Source organism: Homo sapiens, chromosome 13 (genome assembly GCF_000001405.40).
Source record: "Homo sapiens chromosome 13, GRCh38.p14 Primary Assembly".
Lineage (NCBI taxonomy): Eukaryota > Metazoa > Chordata > Mammalia > Primates > Hominidae > Homo > Homo sapiens.
In genome coordinates, this window is record NC_000013.11 from 42,334,049 (window position 1) to 42,353,149 (window position 19,101).

General features: G+C 41.3%; 1 annotated feature.

Moving 5' to 3' along the window:
• Nucleotides 223-292: an enhancer, noted in NCBI's record as "active region_7640". NCBI's record gives its function as "activates an Ori minimal core promoter by ATAC-STARR-seq in GM12878 lymphoblastoid cells {active_cell/tissue: GM12878}" and the evidence as "EXISTENCE:reporter gene assay evidence [ECO:0000049][PMID:35858748]".

The window sequence follows — 19,101 nt, forward strand, 5'->3', positions numbered from 1 at the left end:
CATTGAGTTCGCTACTGTCCCGAAAACAGCCCTGCAGTCTCTCCCGTGGGGTTCACTACAGGGCGGTGCTTGCCACCAATCCAGGGGTACATAGAATTTTATCACAGTGAGAAGGAGGCTTTGGGCAGAGACCACAGAAGTCCAGCGGCATTGATGACCAACTCTGCTTTCTTAAAGCTGCAGTGTTACTTGGAGCCTCAAGGTGGTACAGCAACACAGTCTATGGTTTAAAAAAGCCTGAATTACACTTTGTGAAAAGCTTCCTTGGGCACAATTAGCTTGACGATTTGAACTGTTTCTCAGTCGCTTCCCTTCCTTGTTTCAAATAGCCTGGCTTCTAATCTGGCCTGACCTTTGAGGTCCTTTCTTGCTGGCTCATCCACCTCCATCCCCACTCGGAATCGGGAGGGTTTTCTTAGTTCTTTGGTTACTGAAAAGGAAATCCTTTTCTGCCCAGGTTCCCTCCTCAGATTCAGGCCAGAACTGCTCCCCTGTGGTCATGGGGCCTGTCTTCATAGGCGCCACCTGGACCTGTGCCAGGCAGACAGCAGAGGTGAGTTCCAGGGGGTTCCTCTGAGGTCACACCTGCTTAGGTGCATGGAGGCTCAGGTGAGCAGACTGCAGACTGCCACCACCAGCGTCCCTTCTCTGTTTAAGCCACCTGCTTCCTTATTTCACTGATTCCCACTGGCCTCCCCTTCATATACATCCTCACTATCGTTTTTGGAATTTTCTATTAACATTTCATGATATCCATGCTGTTTAGAATTCGCTTCTATTCTAAACATACTCTAAATTTTACTCCAAATTTACTCTCTACTCAAATGTCACCTTATCCATATGGTATTCCCTGACCACCTGTGAACAGCAGCAACCTTCCATCACTAGTGAGCCCCTTATGTTGCTTTATGTTCCTTCTTAGCCCTTTCACCACCTGGCATAAGTATATATTTGTTATCTCTTCACCCCCAAGGGCAGAAGGCCCCCAGTTTTGTTCTCTTCTGCATCTCCAGCCCTGGAACAGCGTTTGCATGTGGTGGGCACTCAGCAAATGCTGGTTGAATGGATGGATGGATGGATGAATGAATGAGTGGCTAGGGAGAATTTCACCCCTTCCCAACAGGTCAAAAGCATTGTTCTGACAGTTTGTAGTCTAGGGTCTGGCTTTGGCTGAGCCACTAGTTACTTGTAAGACTTTGAGCAAGTCACTTGGCCTCCCCAATGGCCTATTTTTGAATCTGCACAATGAGTGGACTGGACTGCATTGTCTGCGGTTCCTTCCTGCCCCAACAGTTTTTGGTTTTATGATTATCCTCCAAAAGGGGCTAAAGCCATAAGCCAGGTGACAGACAATATGCATTATTGGCATGACACTTGCAAGTAATAAGCTAGCATCAAAAGATGCATTGATATATGTAAATAAACATACTTACTTCACAATCTTTAAGTCTTTAAAAATTATGTCCTTAAGAAAGTCTCAAATGTATTGGCCTTATGTTTCTATTTTGATCTCTGGCTCCATGTGTTAATGACTCTGATATTTTTCTGACAAATAAAAGGTTTTAAAAATTGCTATTGCTTATTTGGGTTCTTCCTAGGTTATTTCTTCTCATTAGTAACATTTCTGGGGAAAGATGTCATGCTCTTAGTGTGCATCCAACATGAAAAAATATTTCAAAATAAAACAATAGTAATTTTTTAAAAACCCTCTTACCTTTGAAAAGAACCATCGCCTTATGCCATAATCTTCCTCTTGCTATTTGGCTGTGGTTATTTTTTAGGATTGGTATATGTCTGGCATCTAGAAGACATTAAAATATTTTTAATGAAGAGTCAGTGTCATGTGGGAGGAAAAAATTCGTATCCTGGGATATGGGTGGAACTTCATGAAAGTGATTGTGTCTTTCTTATCCAAGGGAAGAAGTTTTTGTTCTTTCTGAATGAACTTGAGGGAAAAAGGCAATCAATGTTTTTCCAGTGTAACCTGATAGATTCTCCAAGTCCTCAAGTTCAAATATTTATTCTTTTGTCTTTGTAATGAAAACAAAACCAAACTTGTAGTAGGCATACTCATGATCTCCCAAATATGTCCAGGTCCCTATCCCTGGAAACTGCGAATGTGTTACTTTACATGGCAAAAGGGACTTTGCTGATGGGATAAAAGGAGGGATCTTGAGATGGGGAGATTATCATGGATTATTCAGGTGGATCCAATCTAATCTCCTTAAACTGAGAAACATTTCCCAGCTATGGTCAGAGGACAACACGATCAGAGGGAGCGTCTGAGATGCATCCTTGCCGGCTTTGAAGAGGGAGGAAGGGGGTCAAGGGCCAATGAGTACAGGTAGCTTCTAGAAGCTGGAAAAGGCAGGACATAGATTCTTCCTCAGAGCCTCCAGAAGGAAAGATAATCCTGATGAGACTTTTATTTTAGCCCAGTGAGACCTATGTCAGACGGAACTCCAGAACTGTATGATAATAAAATGTGTATGGTAAGGCACTAAGTTTGTGGAATTTGTTACAGCAGCAATAGCAATACATTACCTTCTTATTTGAACAGAGGCTTTCAGCTCCGCAGTGTAAAAGAAAAGAAGCCAGGCTAGGGTCTAGAGTTGTGCCCTTCAGTTTGGTAGCTGCTGGTCACATGTGGCTACTGGAGCCCTTGAAATGAGTGCTGAGATGTGCCGAAGTGTAGAATAGATGTCGATTTCACAAAGATTGAGTGTGAAAAAGAAAATATCTCCTAATTTAATAATTTATTCGTGTCTATTACATGTTGAAATGCCATTACTTTGGATATGCTGGTTTAAGTGAAATATACTATTAACATTTATTTCACATATTTTTTGAACTTTTGTTTTTAATGTGACTACTAGAAAATTTAAATCATTTGTGGTCCACGTTATACTTCTATTGGACAGGGCTGTTCTAGAGAATCCCTAAATATAGGAGGTGGTCATTTCAACAGTAGACAGGTCTCCAACCAAGTGGTGAGTGATGAAAAAGTCCAGGCACAGAATTCCAGGAGGAGAGGTCAGGCTTTCTTACGTCTTCCTGTATTGGACCATAAGAGAAGGTGTTGTATGGGTCTTTATGTCCTCAGGGCCTGGCACATACTCAGAAATTGTTTGCAGAGCATCCATTTGATGTTGCTGACCCTAGAAAGTTCTTTGACAAGGCACCAAAGGGTGGAAAATTAGTCTTGAAACAATTGCCCTGAAGGAACTTGAAACTGTGGTCTAACAGAAAACAGGATGCAACAACTGGGTCTTTTCCCGTTTGACCAGTATTTGTTGCCCCACCTTACACCTCATGGACACGGGCATTTACCATTTCCAGGAAAGAAAGATCTCAAAAAGAATTACAAACCAAAAGGCAGCCTTGGGTATCAGAGCCCAAATACCAAGAAGCATTCATGTAATGATTTCAGTTTGGCCTCTTTCTTATCTCGGTGCCAATTTCTCAGCAATGCAGAGAAAAATGACTTGAGCTCAGAATTAGGAGATGAACTTTCCATTTGAAATGTGCGTTCTCCTCTGACTTGCTCCATGAACAAGTTAGCTTCCCTGCAGTCCCCTTCATCATGCCTGCTAAGAGGCAAGTGTTTACATTTATCAGGACTGAGCGCTACGAGGTGAGGATTAATTAGTGACTCTACTTAGAATTATTTTTAAAATATCAAGAATAATTTGCTTCCATAACAAATTATCCTGGCTTGGGATTCTGGGACAGGATTTGGGATTCTGATCAGTTGCTTCCCTAACAGCCTGACACTGACATTTGCAGAATCTGTTGTGGTTTAACAGGTATTATAAGTTCAAATATCATATTTCAGAGTGTCTGCTATGGTTACAGGTAACTAAAGGTTACAGTTTTCCCCCCATATGATGTCATTTGCTTAACTCAAATGAACTTTGTGCCATTAAAAATGGGGAAACACAATTTATTTCAATGCCATTTGAGTCTGTTTTGAGGTATTGCGGACGGAAATATCCTGGTTACTGGGTTTGGATGATTCATGCAGTAGAGCAGTCTGAGGAATAAACTTTATCTTGTCCTCATCTTTATTTTTGTTTTCTATATGGAAACTAATCATTTGAGGTTGGCAACATGGATTTGGGCTAAATTTCTTCAATGAATTTTTTTCTACGTTTCCCTACTTCAGACCAAAAATCTCCAACCCTAGGCTGTTTTCCAAAAGCAAACCTGCTCATGAGCTCTCTGACAGAGTGCTAGCCTGTCGGAAATTACAGTAAGTCTCCTTCTGAGGTTGGTTAGGCTGAGAATTCATTGTATTTTGGTTAAAAACAGAGTGTTACAATTTGATCCTGGGAGCAAGAAAGAATTAGTAATGAAAACATTGTTGGTGGAGACTGTTGCCTGGTACACAGGCTGAACTCATTTGTCTGGCCCCCGGTACGGGTGGCCCATGTGAAAATACACACATACACACACACACACACACAGACACACACCACCCATCTGTTACGTTTTTCCTGATGCTTCAGGAAAGTCTGCAAATTAAGACAAATGATATTATCTGGGAGTAACTGATCATCTTTTCACTATGAAAATGTCATATTCATAGGAAATGAATAACACACCTGCCAAAAATCAGGTCGCCTAAATGAAGGGATCAAGGGATTGAATACCCATGGAGAAAATAAGACAGACACAATCCAACTGTTCTATACTAGTTGACAGCAACCTATTCTAATGATATGGTTAAGATTTATAATGGCCATATAGGTTTACCTTCTCCAACCAAACTATTTAAATAATTCCACAAGTCTCCTATTTAATATTGAAGACCATCTCCTTAGCTAAAATTATTATGCTTTAATTGACCATATATAAATATCGGAGGGTTTTGGAGAGTACCATTAGACCATGCACAACCAAGCACAGTTGGATTGAGCCTTGAAGATGTGCATGGTTCCTCCCGCCCGTGCTCTTCCTGGTGAATGAGTAGCTTTTTTCCCTGCACTAATCTGTTCAGTTTGAGGGCTGCTGGAAGCACTACCTTTTATTCTCTTTTCATTTTCTTTACTTCACTAGTTCACAGAGCTGGAGGCCACAGGACTGTTTGTTACATCATCACTGCTTTAAAAGCTTATTTTTGTGAATGCGATTGTACTTGGGGGTTGTCAAAACCTGTGGAAATGTGGCCTTTGGTGACCGGCCATGGCATAATATGACAACATTTCTGGAGTAGTCCAGCACTGGGAATGGTACCCTTGGGTCAGGCAAGTAGGAGGCAGTCATTTTTGTCTCTGGAGCTGCTGGCACTCAAGCGTAGAGGAGGTAGACATTTCAATGGCCAGTTGCTTTTGTATTTAAACAAATAGATCCTGGATTGTAGATTTTTAGAAAACTGCAGATGCAACCTGCAACAGAATCACCTGGTTAGCTTACTCCCCTACCAGCTGACGAGTCTTAGATCAGATATACTGAAGCACAGCCTCTGGGGATGGGGCACTCAGGAATCCAAATTTCTTTAAATAAACTTTAAATTTTAGAATAGTTTCAGATTTGCAAAAAAGTTGTAAAAATAGTACAAAGAGTTCCCATATACCTCATACCCAGTTTTCCTTATTAATATCTTACATTAGGATACATATAATATACATTTGTACAAATGTGCAATGTAAGTAATATAAAATGTACATTTGTACGATATACGTTATCTGTATCATAATGTAATGTACAATGTAAATCCTAATGAAGGATACAGGTAATGTACTTTGTGATGTACAAATAACATCTTACATTAGAATGCAGATAATGTACATCTCCCCCACTCGTTTATTTATTTGATCATTTTTTTATGTCAGTATGGACTCATGAATACCAAGTTATATTTCAGTACCACATTATAAATGTACATTATCTGTATCTTAATGTAAGATATTAATAAGGAAAGCTAGGTGTGAGGTATATGGGAATGCTTTGTACTAGTTTTAAAATTTTTTTGCAAATCTGAATGTATGAATGTACATTAGGTGCATTTGTCACAATCTCATGATTAACCAAAGTCAATACTCTATGACCTGATGTCCTTTTTCTGTAAGATTCCATCCAGGATGCCACGTTACATTTAATTGTTACGTCTCCATAGGCTCCTCTTGGCTGAGACAGTTTCTCAGACTCTCCTTGTTTTCAGTGACCTTTGATAGTTTTGAAGGGTCCTGGAGAGTATTTTGTAGAATGTTCCTTAGTTGAATTGTTTGATGTTTTTCTCATGTTTTAACTGAGGTTATGGGTTTCTGGAAGAAAGATCACAGAGGCAAAGTGCCCTTCTCATCACGTTGCATCAGTGGCACCCTCAACGCAACTCACAGTTGATGTTCACCTTGATGACCTGGCTGAGGTAGTCTTGACAGGTTTTTCTACTGTAAAGTGATTCTTTTTTCCACCTTTTCATACTTTACTCTTTGGAGGGGAGTCACTGTGGATAGCCCGCACTTAAGGAGTGGGAGTTGTACTCCACCTCCCTGAGGGGGAGTAGCTACATACATGATGGAATTCTTCTGTCTAGAGATTTATCTATTCTCCCCCACTTGTTTATTTATATGTTCATTTATTTATGTCAGTATAGACTCATGAATATCAAGTTATACTCCAGTGCTACTTTGTTAATCAGATTGTTCCAGCTTTGTCCATTGGGAACTCTTTCAGTGGGATCCCATGTCTCTTTGATGTATCCCCTTTCTTGTGATGTTTTTGGGAGCCCTTCCGGCACTTTCTGCCACTACAAGATGCTCCAGGAATTAACATTTTTGACCAGCTCTATCATACTGAAAAAAACCAAGATTTATCATTTTCGGCCATCAAGACCAGAAATTTTAAATGTCCCGCTTATTGTTGGATGTGGAACAAAGCTGTCAAAAGAAAAATCACACTAAAGAATGTGTATGTATCTTCAAAATCTCTCTGTTTATTTGGTAACATCTATAGCCCAGGCACGTACAGAGAGGCAGTTATTTAAATCCAATCAAGAGACTAAGAAGTTCAAGAGATCTATTGTATAACATGGTAGCTATAGTTAATAACAATGTATTGTACACTTGAAAATTGTCGAAAGAGCAGATTTTAGGTGTTATCACAAAAATCATAATGAGAAGTACATGAGGTGATGCATAAGTTAATTAGTTTGATCTAGCCATCCACATGTATATACATTTTAAAACATCAGGTTGTACACCATAGACACATATACTTTTTGTCAATTTAAAAAAGTAGTGATTTTTTTTTAAAGAGACTAAAAATTGAGGAGAATCATCTATGAAACATTTTCCTGGAAACCACAAGGCTTTTGGGCCACAGGCACCTCACTGGGTGTGGATAACAATTGTTGAGTTAGCCCAGCCCCTATCAAAGAGGATCTTAAGCCATATCAACCACTTCTTAGGATTTTCTGGTGACTTCTGAGAGAGGAAGAGTCAGAAACACCCATGGGCAGTAACACCCAGGGCTGGCTCTGGAGTGGGGGTGAGGTCATTGAGGGGAAGGCCAGGGTTTGGGTGAGCCTGTGCTGTAGGGATGGAACTCTGGTTGGCATAGGGTACTGAGCGTGTCTCTGTATGTGCATCCATGCAGACTTGCACATGGGTAAAAATTCATTTAACCCACCTTGATAACTACCATCTACCTTTTGTAACTGGATTTGATTTAGAGTCAGCTGTAGCAGGGTGTGTGTGCTATGTTGACACAACAAATCATGGAGATGCATTTAGGACCCATTTCAGATCCTTGTTGAATGCTCTACGGTGATGATGACAATACAGTCACGATACACAAAACCAGGCCCAGCATGAAGGCAACTGGCTTTTGCTTTTCTTGGCCCTTCCTTGGCTTCTACATTTGCCTTGGCTTCTCTGCCATCGTGGAACATCAGTTCACCTTTCCAGAATACATCTGGTGGTGTTTCTATTAAGTAATACCAGCAAATTACATATAATCCTTGGCATTAGGACATTTAAAAACTGGTGAATGTGGCTGGGTGTGGTGGCTCATGCCTATAATCCCAGCACTCCGGAAGGCCAAGGCAGGCAGATAACTTGAGGCCAGGAGTTTGAGACCAGCCTGGCCAACATGGTGAAACCCTGTCTCTACTAAAAGTACAAAAAGTAGCCGGGCGTGGTGATGGGCACCTGTAATCTCAGCTACTCGGGAGGCCGAGGCAGGAGAATCGCTTGAACCTGGGAGACGGAGGTTGCAGTGAGCCGAGATCGTGCCACTGCACTCCAGCCTGGGCGACTGAGCAAGACACTGTCTCACAAAGGAAACAAAACAAAATAAGACAAAAACAGAAAACCTCAAAAAACCCTGCTGAGTTTCTGGTCTCATGCACGCCAGGAATCATTTGTCAGTGATTATGATGTATACTCCCATGTGTCCATTTTGACTGTTTTTCCTCCTCTCTACCCCAGGCCGTACCATTCCTCCTGCCGTCCTCACATATTCTCCCACGGTTCTGCAGATGAAATGTAAGAACTTCCTCCAGGTAATCTTCCACTGGCAGGCTGCATTGTCAACAGCAGCTGTCCTCCAGGTAGGATTCTTGGCATACCCTGAAGCATTCTGGAAGCACTTGTGTTTTTTAGCACTTTAGCCAGTATTGATTATTTTTATTGGGGATTGAGTGTGTTGTGTTTTGTCTCACAGGACTTTTTCACATCTGTTGCTGTGCTTAAGTTTATGGCAGAGATTCATTTGAAATGGGATTTTTTTGTCTTTTTTTTCCATTTGAGGCAAGAGTGCAGATGGGCTTTTAATTTTCTTGCTGCCACCTGGGAAGAATTTGTCATTTCATTCCTAAAGACAAAAAGAAACACATCTGATATAATCTAACACAAGTCTATGCTAAACAACTCCAACAACTCGGGTAGAGTAATTCCAGCAATTTGTGTTGATTATCTATGTTTGTTAAGGATATCTCAGTGGGAAGACTTCCAAGTAACCCTTTTGAGTTTCCACTCAAGGCATTTTTTTTCTTCTTCATATTCATAAAGCTCCTAAAGGTATAGATTGATAATTTGACGGGAAAAGCTAGGTAAATAGAACCAAGCAACTGACTTACAAGAGAGCTAGCGTAAAATGGATGGAGACACAAGGAAGAAAAAGCTTTGTGTATCTTCGCAGATATGAACAAAGCACTAGGCGGAGCTGGTGGCCTTGTAGGATGGTGACCCAGGGTTTCTGCACAGGGTCTGCCTCCCTGCTTGTCACCCCTGGGTCCTCTCTCTGGCTACACTGCTGTGTTTTCCCTGGCCACTTCCTCTCCAGGGCTGCCTCACACTGAGGGGTACTTTCCTCTGCCTTCCCCAAGGATGCTTCTCTGGGCTTCAAGCCACCCAGCTTTGACCTTGCAGTCACCTCCTTCATTTTCTTCCTTTGGAAGGTCTCAGTGAGATTCCACCCTAACGCCTCACCCATTTCTTCTTTCCAAACTGTCAGAGAGCATCTAGAGTGCTACCCAATGATGAAAGCATATCCCAGTTTTGGGGGAAGCCTGGCTTCTTTGAGCATTCAAATGCTGCAAACTGGCTCTTGGGTCCTACCCTGTAATCGCTGCAAAGGCCCATGGGCTGGCTTGGTCCATCAGCAAAAGGTCCCTTCTTCCTTATGCCAGTTGGAACACACCCAGAGGCCAGACTGTGGTGCAGGCATTTTCTCTGGGAGAGGGGAATCCTCTAGTGTTTCCTCTGGACAGGACACCTACCTGGCACAGGTGCCCAGACTCCCCTTTTGGTCTTTCTCCTGCTTTCCTTTTCTCTCTCCTTCAGGGGTGCCATTTAATTCAGCAAGGACAGTTTCTCTTGCTGTTGACGTGTGGATCAACTCTGTTAACCCTGGATCCTTAATGTTCTTCAGAGCCACAGCCCACAAGATCAAACCCTCTCCAACAAAATAAAATGAAACAAAACAAAGAAACCCTCTTGCTAATATAAAACTTCGATGTATAATGTGCCAAACCTTCCCACCCTAAACACACACACAACACAGACCAGGGGTGAGGGTTGGGAGGATAAGGTGAATACAAGCTCATCTTTTGCCATTAGCAATTCTCTAGTAGCCCTGGGAGCTCCCAGGTCCATTGAGTTTTGGAGGTTGGTGGCATCACGCAGGTCCCACTATGGAAGGAAATATGTTACCCAACAGTTTTTGTTTCTTTCAAAACACCTACTTCCTTTGGCAGCAAACTCCTGCTTCTTGTGTGAGAGGCATCTTCATCTCACACCTTGGAGCGAGCAAAGATGCCTCATGTCCCAGAGCAGAGCAGTGGCTGCTTGCACTTCCTGCTCTTCCATCTGCCCCAGGTTTCTTAAGAACTCACACCATTCCCTGTATTCCATTTCTTGTAATCTTTTTTGAACAGTTATTCAAATATTGTGCCAGACAGTGTGAGGGTGGTGGGGCAAATAATGGAAAGTGTTCTTGTTCCCCTGGGACCTACATTTCGAGGGAGAGGTAGATAGGCATTTTCATAATCTTCATTTTCTTTGCATTCTTTATTTGTGTTTACCTTTCTATTGAGTGGACTGTTAAGGAAGCACCAGAGGAGGGAGAGAAGAGCTTTGACGTAGATGACCAGGAGAGTGTTCTTGTGGAAGGAGGAATTTGGTCATGACCTCGAAGGACATCTAGGACTGTGATTGGCAGGAATGCATGGTGGAAAGAACAGTTCTAGCACAACAGAGCACAGGAGTGGGACATGTCAGGGCCGGACCTCAGGGTCCCCTGAGTAGTTCCATGGGAGAGCTGTGGCACCCGTGGCGAGGTGTGGAAATAGAAATGGGAAGGGACCTTGGGGTGATGCTGTTGGAGGCTTCTGCAGTAGAGGAGTGTTTTTCCAGTTATTACAGTGTTAACTATATAAAAACTACTTTGTCTATATACATCAAAAATACCCAGCATAATTATTTTTCCAGTATAGCTGTCACTCACCACTATACTGTTGCTTTCAATTTTAAGCTTTAAAGATGATGTGAGAGAAAAATAGTATCCTAGTACCTGTGTGGATTTTTTTCCCTTCCTAAAATCAATAATTCTTTCATTTTTAAAGTCAATTTTGCCTTTGTAAATGACTTCATGCCTTTTGTTTTTGTTTTGTGCTTGTAGCTTGTACGTTTTGGAGCTTTAAAAACAAACTCTGGGGCCAATCCACCTAGGTTTAAATCTCAGCTCTGTTGCTTCACAGAAGTGCAATTTGGGCAAGTTACTTAACTCGCCTGTTTTTTAGTTTCTTTATCCATAGAATGGAGATAATATTTCTATGTATCCTTCACAGAAAATAATCTGTGAGGATGAAGTGGAATACATGTTACAAGCTCTCACTGCCTCGCATGGAGTAAACAATAAGGGTTTACTATTGTTATTATTCTTTTAAAAATTAAATGAATTCATGTTGGTGTTGAAAGAGGGTGATACGTGCACATGGGGATGTGACAATCACAGTTACAGCCCTCTATTAATAGCCAAGGGTGAATCATAAATGAAACTCCCACCCAAAGCCTCCCAAGGCCTCCCCAGGCTGAGGCAGTCACTGTTCGGTTTCTGGTGTATCCTTCCAGAATCACTTTGAGTTTCTAGGGTGTATGTGTATGCCTTCCTGTCTCTGAATCTGAAATGTGTGTGTGTCAATCTGTGTGTGTGTATATATATATCTGCACACATATACATGTGTACATGTATATGTATAGTTTCACACCTTGTATTTTCCTATCTTAACGTATCATACTGATTATTTCATATCTGCAATATAGATCTATATAATTCTTTTAAATGGCAATGTAGTATCTCATTTCATAGATATATAAAACCAGTCCCTTAAAAATGGGCTATTAAGATGCTTCTAGCCTTTGTCTTACAATGTTGCAATGATCCTTTTAGTACATTTTTATTTCGATGGATATTATTCAATTGTAAATTATGAAGTAAATTCTTCCCTGTCTTTCCATAAAATCAATGCAGTCTACATTTTTTCCCTCATGCTTTATGAAATGGATTTACTTTGAGATGTGCATGCTGCTTCAAGGTGGTATCGAAAAATCAGTTTACTTACATGCGAGTTATAGGGAGAACTATTTAAGTGAAGAAAATTCCTCTGTAGGAATACTACATTGCCCTTTAGATGTTTCTTTTGAAGAAAAAAATGTTTACCACCTTAAGCACAAAAAGCAGAATACACATCACTATTTATGACTGCAGATATTGCTTTCTCAGTATATTTTAAAACAAATTCATGAGTTAAAAAAGACAAAGGTGGAATATCTGTGTATGAGTAGGTGAATATTCTTAAATTTTCCGTATTTTTCCAGTCTTAGGGAATGGGCATGTGTTGTTTTCATAATTGAACATAAAAAGGAAGAAGACACTTTTAAGAGTATCAAATTAAAAGAGAGAAATGACTGCTGGAGGAAGACCTGTGGACAATTTTAAGAAAAAGGGACAAAAGGGGAAAGGGACATATAAGAATCAAGAAACCCGATAGTGGGGTCTACAGCTAAAATCCTAGGGACTCCAGGCAACTCTTGGATAATACTACAGCTAACACGATAGATATTAATATTTGGGGATCTTGAGTCATTGCAAGAAAGGCTTAGCAAAAACATATTGGTTCAAGTAAGCTAGCAAGGACGCATGTAGTACATCTTAATCTCCATCAAGATAATTTTGAAGTGTTGTCGTTTAAAGGGTAAATCAGCTGCTATCTGGACAATGCACTTATATGGACAACCTCATTGCTTAACAATGCTGGATAAATGAGGCCTTTACCGCATTTCTTTTTCTTAAAAGTATAGTTACTTTTAAAAATGCTATCTTCAGACAAATCTGTTTGCTGATTATTTGGTTAGCTATCTTTGATTATACTAGTCCCTCCTTGTTCAAGTTGTTTAAGAAAGTGTCACTATAAAATATTGAAAGTGGCCGTGGCATGACTTGGAAAAATGACCCACAGTTCTAATTCCATTCCAAAGAATTCAAGGGACTTTCCAGATAAATTCATTTGGAGTCTACATGGAATTTGCAGTTAGGAAAGGAGCTGATAGAAGCTTATACTTTAACCATCTATAAAGACAGGGTTTACAAAGCAGATAACATGTTTAACTTTCAGGAAACAAACTCCTTAAGTATCATCAGGTTTTGTTGCAGATGTCTGTTCACAAACAAATGGTGTGTGGTATATGACATTCCTGATCAACCTCATTTTAAAATTTAACTTCCAAGAGATTTACTCGACAGCAATCTATTAATCTACTTGTAACAATGATACATTTCATTTTGGTTTTTTTGAGTCAGATTTCCCTCCCTAGCCCTCTGTCATTCCTTAAATGGCTTTGAATTACGAGGTTAATGTCTCATTTTACTAACCTATTTTGTAAATTTATTGTATTGAATATTCTTGAAATTATGGGCCTTGAATTTCCATTTTTTTCAACTTTTATTTTAGAATTAGGGGGAACATGTACAGGTTTGTTGCATTGACATATTGCATCATGCTGAGATTTGAAGAACAAATGAATCCATTACCCAGCTAGTGAGCATATACCCCAAAGGTAGCTTTTCAGCCCTTGCCCTTCTCCCTCTCCCCTCATCTAATAGTCTCCAGTATCTACTGTTCCCATCGTTATGTCCATGAGTACCTAATATTTAGCTCACACTTATAAGGGAGAACATGCGGTATTTTGTTTTGTTTCTGTGTTAGTTTGCTTAGGATAATGGCCTCCAGCTGCAGCCATGTTGCTGCAAAGGACAAGATTTCATTCTTTTTTATGGCTGCTTAGTATTCTATGGTATACAGGTACTACATTTTCTTTATCCATTCTGCAGTTGATGGGCACCTTGATTGATTCCATGTCGTTGCTATTGTGACTAGCACTATGATGAAGATATGGGTACATGTATCTTTTGGCAGAACAATTTATTTTCATTCGGGTACATACCCAGTAATGAGATTGCTGGGTCAAATGGTAGCTCAACTCCTGGTTCTTTGAGAAGTCTCCCAACTGCTCTCCACAGTGGCTGGACTTTTTTTTTTTAATGTGGAGATTTTGTCACAATGATTTCTGCTTTGATCTATAAGGAGAATGTCATCCTTTTCTCCTTATTGCCAATTTGTTTTTATCCCCAGTCTTAATGAAGATTCTGTTAGCCTTCCCCTACCCTACCATTTGTCCCCATATTCCTAAAACCAGATACATAAGCTACTGAAGGAAAGAAAACCATAGAAATACAGTTTATCTCTCACAGAAATACATTTCTTACAATCTGCCAGTGAATGCCAAACAACTTCTCGAGGCTGTGATTCTTGTGATCCAAGTGATCCCTCCCAGGTGTTGATGCCTTTGACATCAGGGCAGGTGATTCTTGCCTGAGTTGATGGGCCAGCCCAGCTGAGCAGTCAGTTGAGCCCTCTGTGCTGGATGACTATGGTCCTCACTGAGACACAGCTGAGCTTAATGAGCCATAGACTGGAGGCTGGGACTCCTGGATTTTTTGCCAACTCTTGACCTTAGGAAATACCTCACCTCTCTGGTCTTCAATTCCACCATCTTTGATATAGGAGTGTGAAAATTTTAGAAAGTCGTTTCTGGATCTGAAGTTCTTGATTCTAATGGAAGGAAAAGAAAAGCAATCACACGTTCCTAGCTATAGCTTAAATCAGGAGGTATTGTTCTCACTTACCAAGACTTTCTCTCTTTTCCCTCCCCCATGCTCTGGGGTTCATCATTCCTTCCACTGGGTTCCCACTGTGGTTTGCCCTTGAAGACTCCACCCGAGAGTTTATGACTTGATATTATAATTATCTGTTTATATTTTCCGTTCCTTTATGGGACCAAGACCTGCTAGAAGGCAGGAACTGTATCTCACTCCTCTTCCCATCTCCAGTCCCACACCCAGGATCTCTCACATCACAGGTATCCAAGAATGACTGTTGAACAATAGAATTAGAACAGTAGAGGTAAAAAGCAACAACTCTGAGATCCCGAGAGAGATTTTTTCCTTATCAGAGCACTGGACTGGCAGTCAAGAGACACTGGTTTGGCACCTGATGGCCCTTGGACAGCTCATTTAACCTGCAGTTTGCCAAAATCACCTTGAAGAATAGAGTCACTAATTGTCACAATTTCTTGAACCCATACTAAACCTATTATTACCATCCCCATTTTGCTGATGAGGAAATCAAGTCCCAGAGAGTATTAGATGACTTGTTCAAGGCATGCCAGTTAACAAGCGGATGGGCTGGCATTCAAAGCTTATGCTTTTCTGACTACACCGCACTGCCTCCTATTATGCAGTGTATATTGCTAGATTGATATGTCAGCACTTCATGAATTCATAATATGTACAGGGTGCAGTGTATGTGCTTGGTGGTAGTGAGGAAGTTGTAAAAAACATTACTTAGATGCTACATTTGTACCCAATGTGTAGTTTTTAGCCCTTATGCGATTTAATCTGTTCCCACTGTTTGATCCTATTGGCCACTTCCTCCTTGAAACACATTTTTCTCTTGGCTTTTGTGTCACATCCTTCTGTTTGTGGCTACTCTTTTTCAGTCTCTTTTGAAGATTCTTCTTTCAAAGCCATTAAGAATTGATGTTTCTTAAAGCTCGGCCCTAGACTCCCTGCTCTGTTCATTCCTTCTCCCTCCCAAGCATCAACATCTGAGGCAAGGGCTTTGGTGACTACCTCTGTACTGATGATTCCTAAGTTGTATCCCTGAGCTCCAGACTAGTATGCCTGCTAGACATCTCCACTTGAATGTCTCTAGGGCACTGAAAGTTGAGGTCCAACTAAATTCATGCTGTCCATCCTCTTTCCAATGCCCCCTTCTGGTTTTCTTCCAGTTTTTCTGAATGCCCCATCATGTATGTAAGCCAGAACCCAGGAGCTATCCTTTGGACTGCTTTCTCCTTCACTTTTCTCCAGAAGCAAATTCATTACCAACCCCTATCAGTGCTACCAATAATGAGTTCTTATATCTGCCTCCTTCTATTTCCACTGCCACCGTTGTAGTTCAAGCCACCACAACCTCTCACTGAGATGCCTGCATTAGCAGCCTAATCTGGTCTTCCTCTATCCTCAATGACTCTCCTCCTTCTGTTTCTTTTTCACTCTGCAGAGTGACCTTTTAAAAATGCAAATGCATCCCTTTTCCCCTTCCCAACAGATTTGCATTTCTCTTCAGGAAACGACCCAAATCTCTCACATGGCATTGGCTGAGTGCTCGGGTTCTCACTCAGTCCTCTGGCCCCATCTCATCCACCCCTCTGAGCTCTCTATGCTTCAGTCTCAGTAGCCTTGCAGCTCTAGGGGGTGCCTTCTCCAACCGGCAGTTGAGCCATAACAGGCTGTTCCCTCTGTTTGGAATGCTCATTCCACCCCAACGCCTCTGTGGTAGGCTGAATTATGGTCCCCAAAGATATCCAGGTCCTAATCTCTGAGACCTTTGAATGTTACCTTAAATGATATCAGGGATTTTGCAGATAAGGATAAAGGGACTCTCCTGAAATGGGGAGACTGTGCTGGATTATCTGGGTAGGCCCCGAGTGTAATCACAAGCATCCTTATAAGAGGGAAGCAGAGGGACGTCTGACTCAGAAGGCAGAAGGCAATGTGACAATGGAAACAGAGAGATTTGAGAATGCCATGACATTGGCTTTGAAGATAGAGGAAGGGGCCATGGGCAAGCAATGTTCTCTAGAAGCTGGAAAAGGTAAAGAAACAGATTTTCCTCAGGAGCTGCTGAGTGGATGTGGCCCTGCCTATATCTTGGTTTCTGCCCAGTGAAACCCATTTTGGACTTCTGGCCTCCAGTAAGAGAGCAGGTTTCTGTTGTTTTAACCCACAAAGTTTGTGGTAATTTGTTATAGCCCCCAGAGGAAACTAATACAATGACTTCATGTTTGAGCAAATGCTTTGCACTCCCCAGAGTAAAAGAGGAGAGCCCTGACCAAGGGTCTAGAACAATACCACCCAATAAGGTAGCCATTGGCCACAGGGGACTGCTGAGCACTCGAAAGCTGCACTTTAACTAGGGCAACTGGGGTGAAGCTGTAAGAAATTTGGGTGATTTAAAAAAGAGTCATGTAAATCCGTTGGGTCTAGGGGAGAGCAATGCATTTGCATTTGGTGGGCCCTCCCTTGCCGCAGCTTCAGTAATGGATGCATGATCCAGGTCCGGCCAATAATGATATCCTATCCTTAGGGCCACAGTAATTGGCCTGATGGTCTAGTCCTGAGCCGGACCAATCAGGGTCCTCTCCAGAGATTTGATATGACCGCTGGGATGGCGGGCTACCACTCTCTCCCCAAGACTTGCTGAGCTGGGGATTAGAAAGACTGGAACCCTCTGTGACCTGGTGCTCCCTTCTCCCTCTGCATAGGGGGTGTGCGCCACAGCAGAGACAGTAAGGCTGACACGCAGAGAGAAGACCGGGACTGGCAGGCATGGGTATAGAGAGAGACACTGCCCTGATTACATTTTGGGAGTTGCTGGTGTCCCTAAGGCCAGATTTACCCAAGATCACAAGGGTAAAGGATCGCAAGACCCGGAGTTGTAGGAGCCCCTTTAGCCACTACATGGAGTGAGCTTGCCAGGAATGGAGCACGCAGAGTAAGGTGAGTCTGGAAGACCGGGAGAAAGAGCTGACATCCCGAAGACGGCTTTTGAAATTCCAGGATCCAGTGTGCCTGAGGCTAGCCTGACCTCTTTGCTGTCCCAATCATGGGAACAAATAAGATCCCCCTTTTTTCTTACATATTTTGAGTTTGGCTTTTTCACTGGACCAGTTGAATTTTATTCATACAACTAGCAAAGCTACTGTGCATTATTTGAAATAAGATTTTTAAAAATTTACATTTGCACTAGGAAGAGAAAAAGAAATTATTTAGAGATTCTTGATTAGGCAGTAGGATAAATAACCTATTTTACAGCAGCCCTGTTAATTACTGCAATAAATCCAGGCCCCAGAAAATCAATTGCCTCCTGTTAAGTTCCATTTCATCCATCCTCCCCACCCTCCCATTCCTAGGGTTCAGTTGTGGTGACAAAGAAGGCACAGGGTCTGTGATCTCAGTGACATTTTCTCCATTATTATTTATTTTTAATTGACAAATAAAAATTGTATATATTTATTGTGAACACAGATTTTTTTTTTTTTTGACGGAGTCTTGCTCTTATTGCCCAGGCTGGGGAGCAGTGGTGCAATCTCAGCTCACTGCAACCTCTGCCTTCCAGCTTCAAGCTATTCTCCTGCCTCACCCTCCCAAGTAGCTGTTATTATTATAGGCACCTGCCACCACGTCTGGCTAATTTTTTTGTATTTTTAGTAAAGATGGGTTTTCACCATGTTGGCCAGGCTGGTCTTGAACTCCTGACCTCAGGTGATCCGCCCACCTTGCCCTCCCAAAGTGTTGAGATTACAGGTGTGAGCCACTGCGCCCGGCCACAACATGATGTTTTGAAATATGTATACATTGTGGAATGGCTCAAACCAGGTAATTAATATAATCATTATCTCACATACTTAATTTTGTGATGAGAATACTTAAAATCTACTCTTAGCAATTTTCAAAAATGCAGTACATTGTTGTTAACTATAGTATCCATGTTGTACAACAGACTGTTGAACTTATCCCTCCTGTCTGCTTATATGTTGTATCCTTTGACCACCATCTACCCCTAGCCCCAACCTCTCCAGTCTCTGGTAACTAGCATTCTACTCTCTACTTCTATGAGTTCAACCTTTTTAGATTTCACATGTAAGTGCACTCACATAGTATTTGTCTTCCTGTACCAGGCTTATTTCACTTAACATAATGTCCTCTAGGTTCAGCCATATTATTGTGAATGACAGGATTTCCTTCTTTCTTAAAACTGAATAGTATTCTGTTGTGTATATATAGTACATTTCCTTTTTTTTGAGGTATATACATTTAAAATATATTTTTTATTACGATAGTAAAATATGCTCATTGAAAAAAAATACCCAAACAACATAGGAGGAAATAAAGTGAAAAGTAAAAATATCCCCCTTCCCCAAGGCTTCTAAGCTTCTTTCAGAACTCAAGGTCTACGCTTTTAGACTTTTG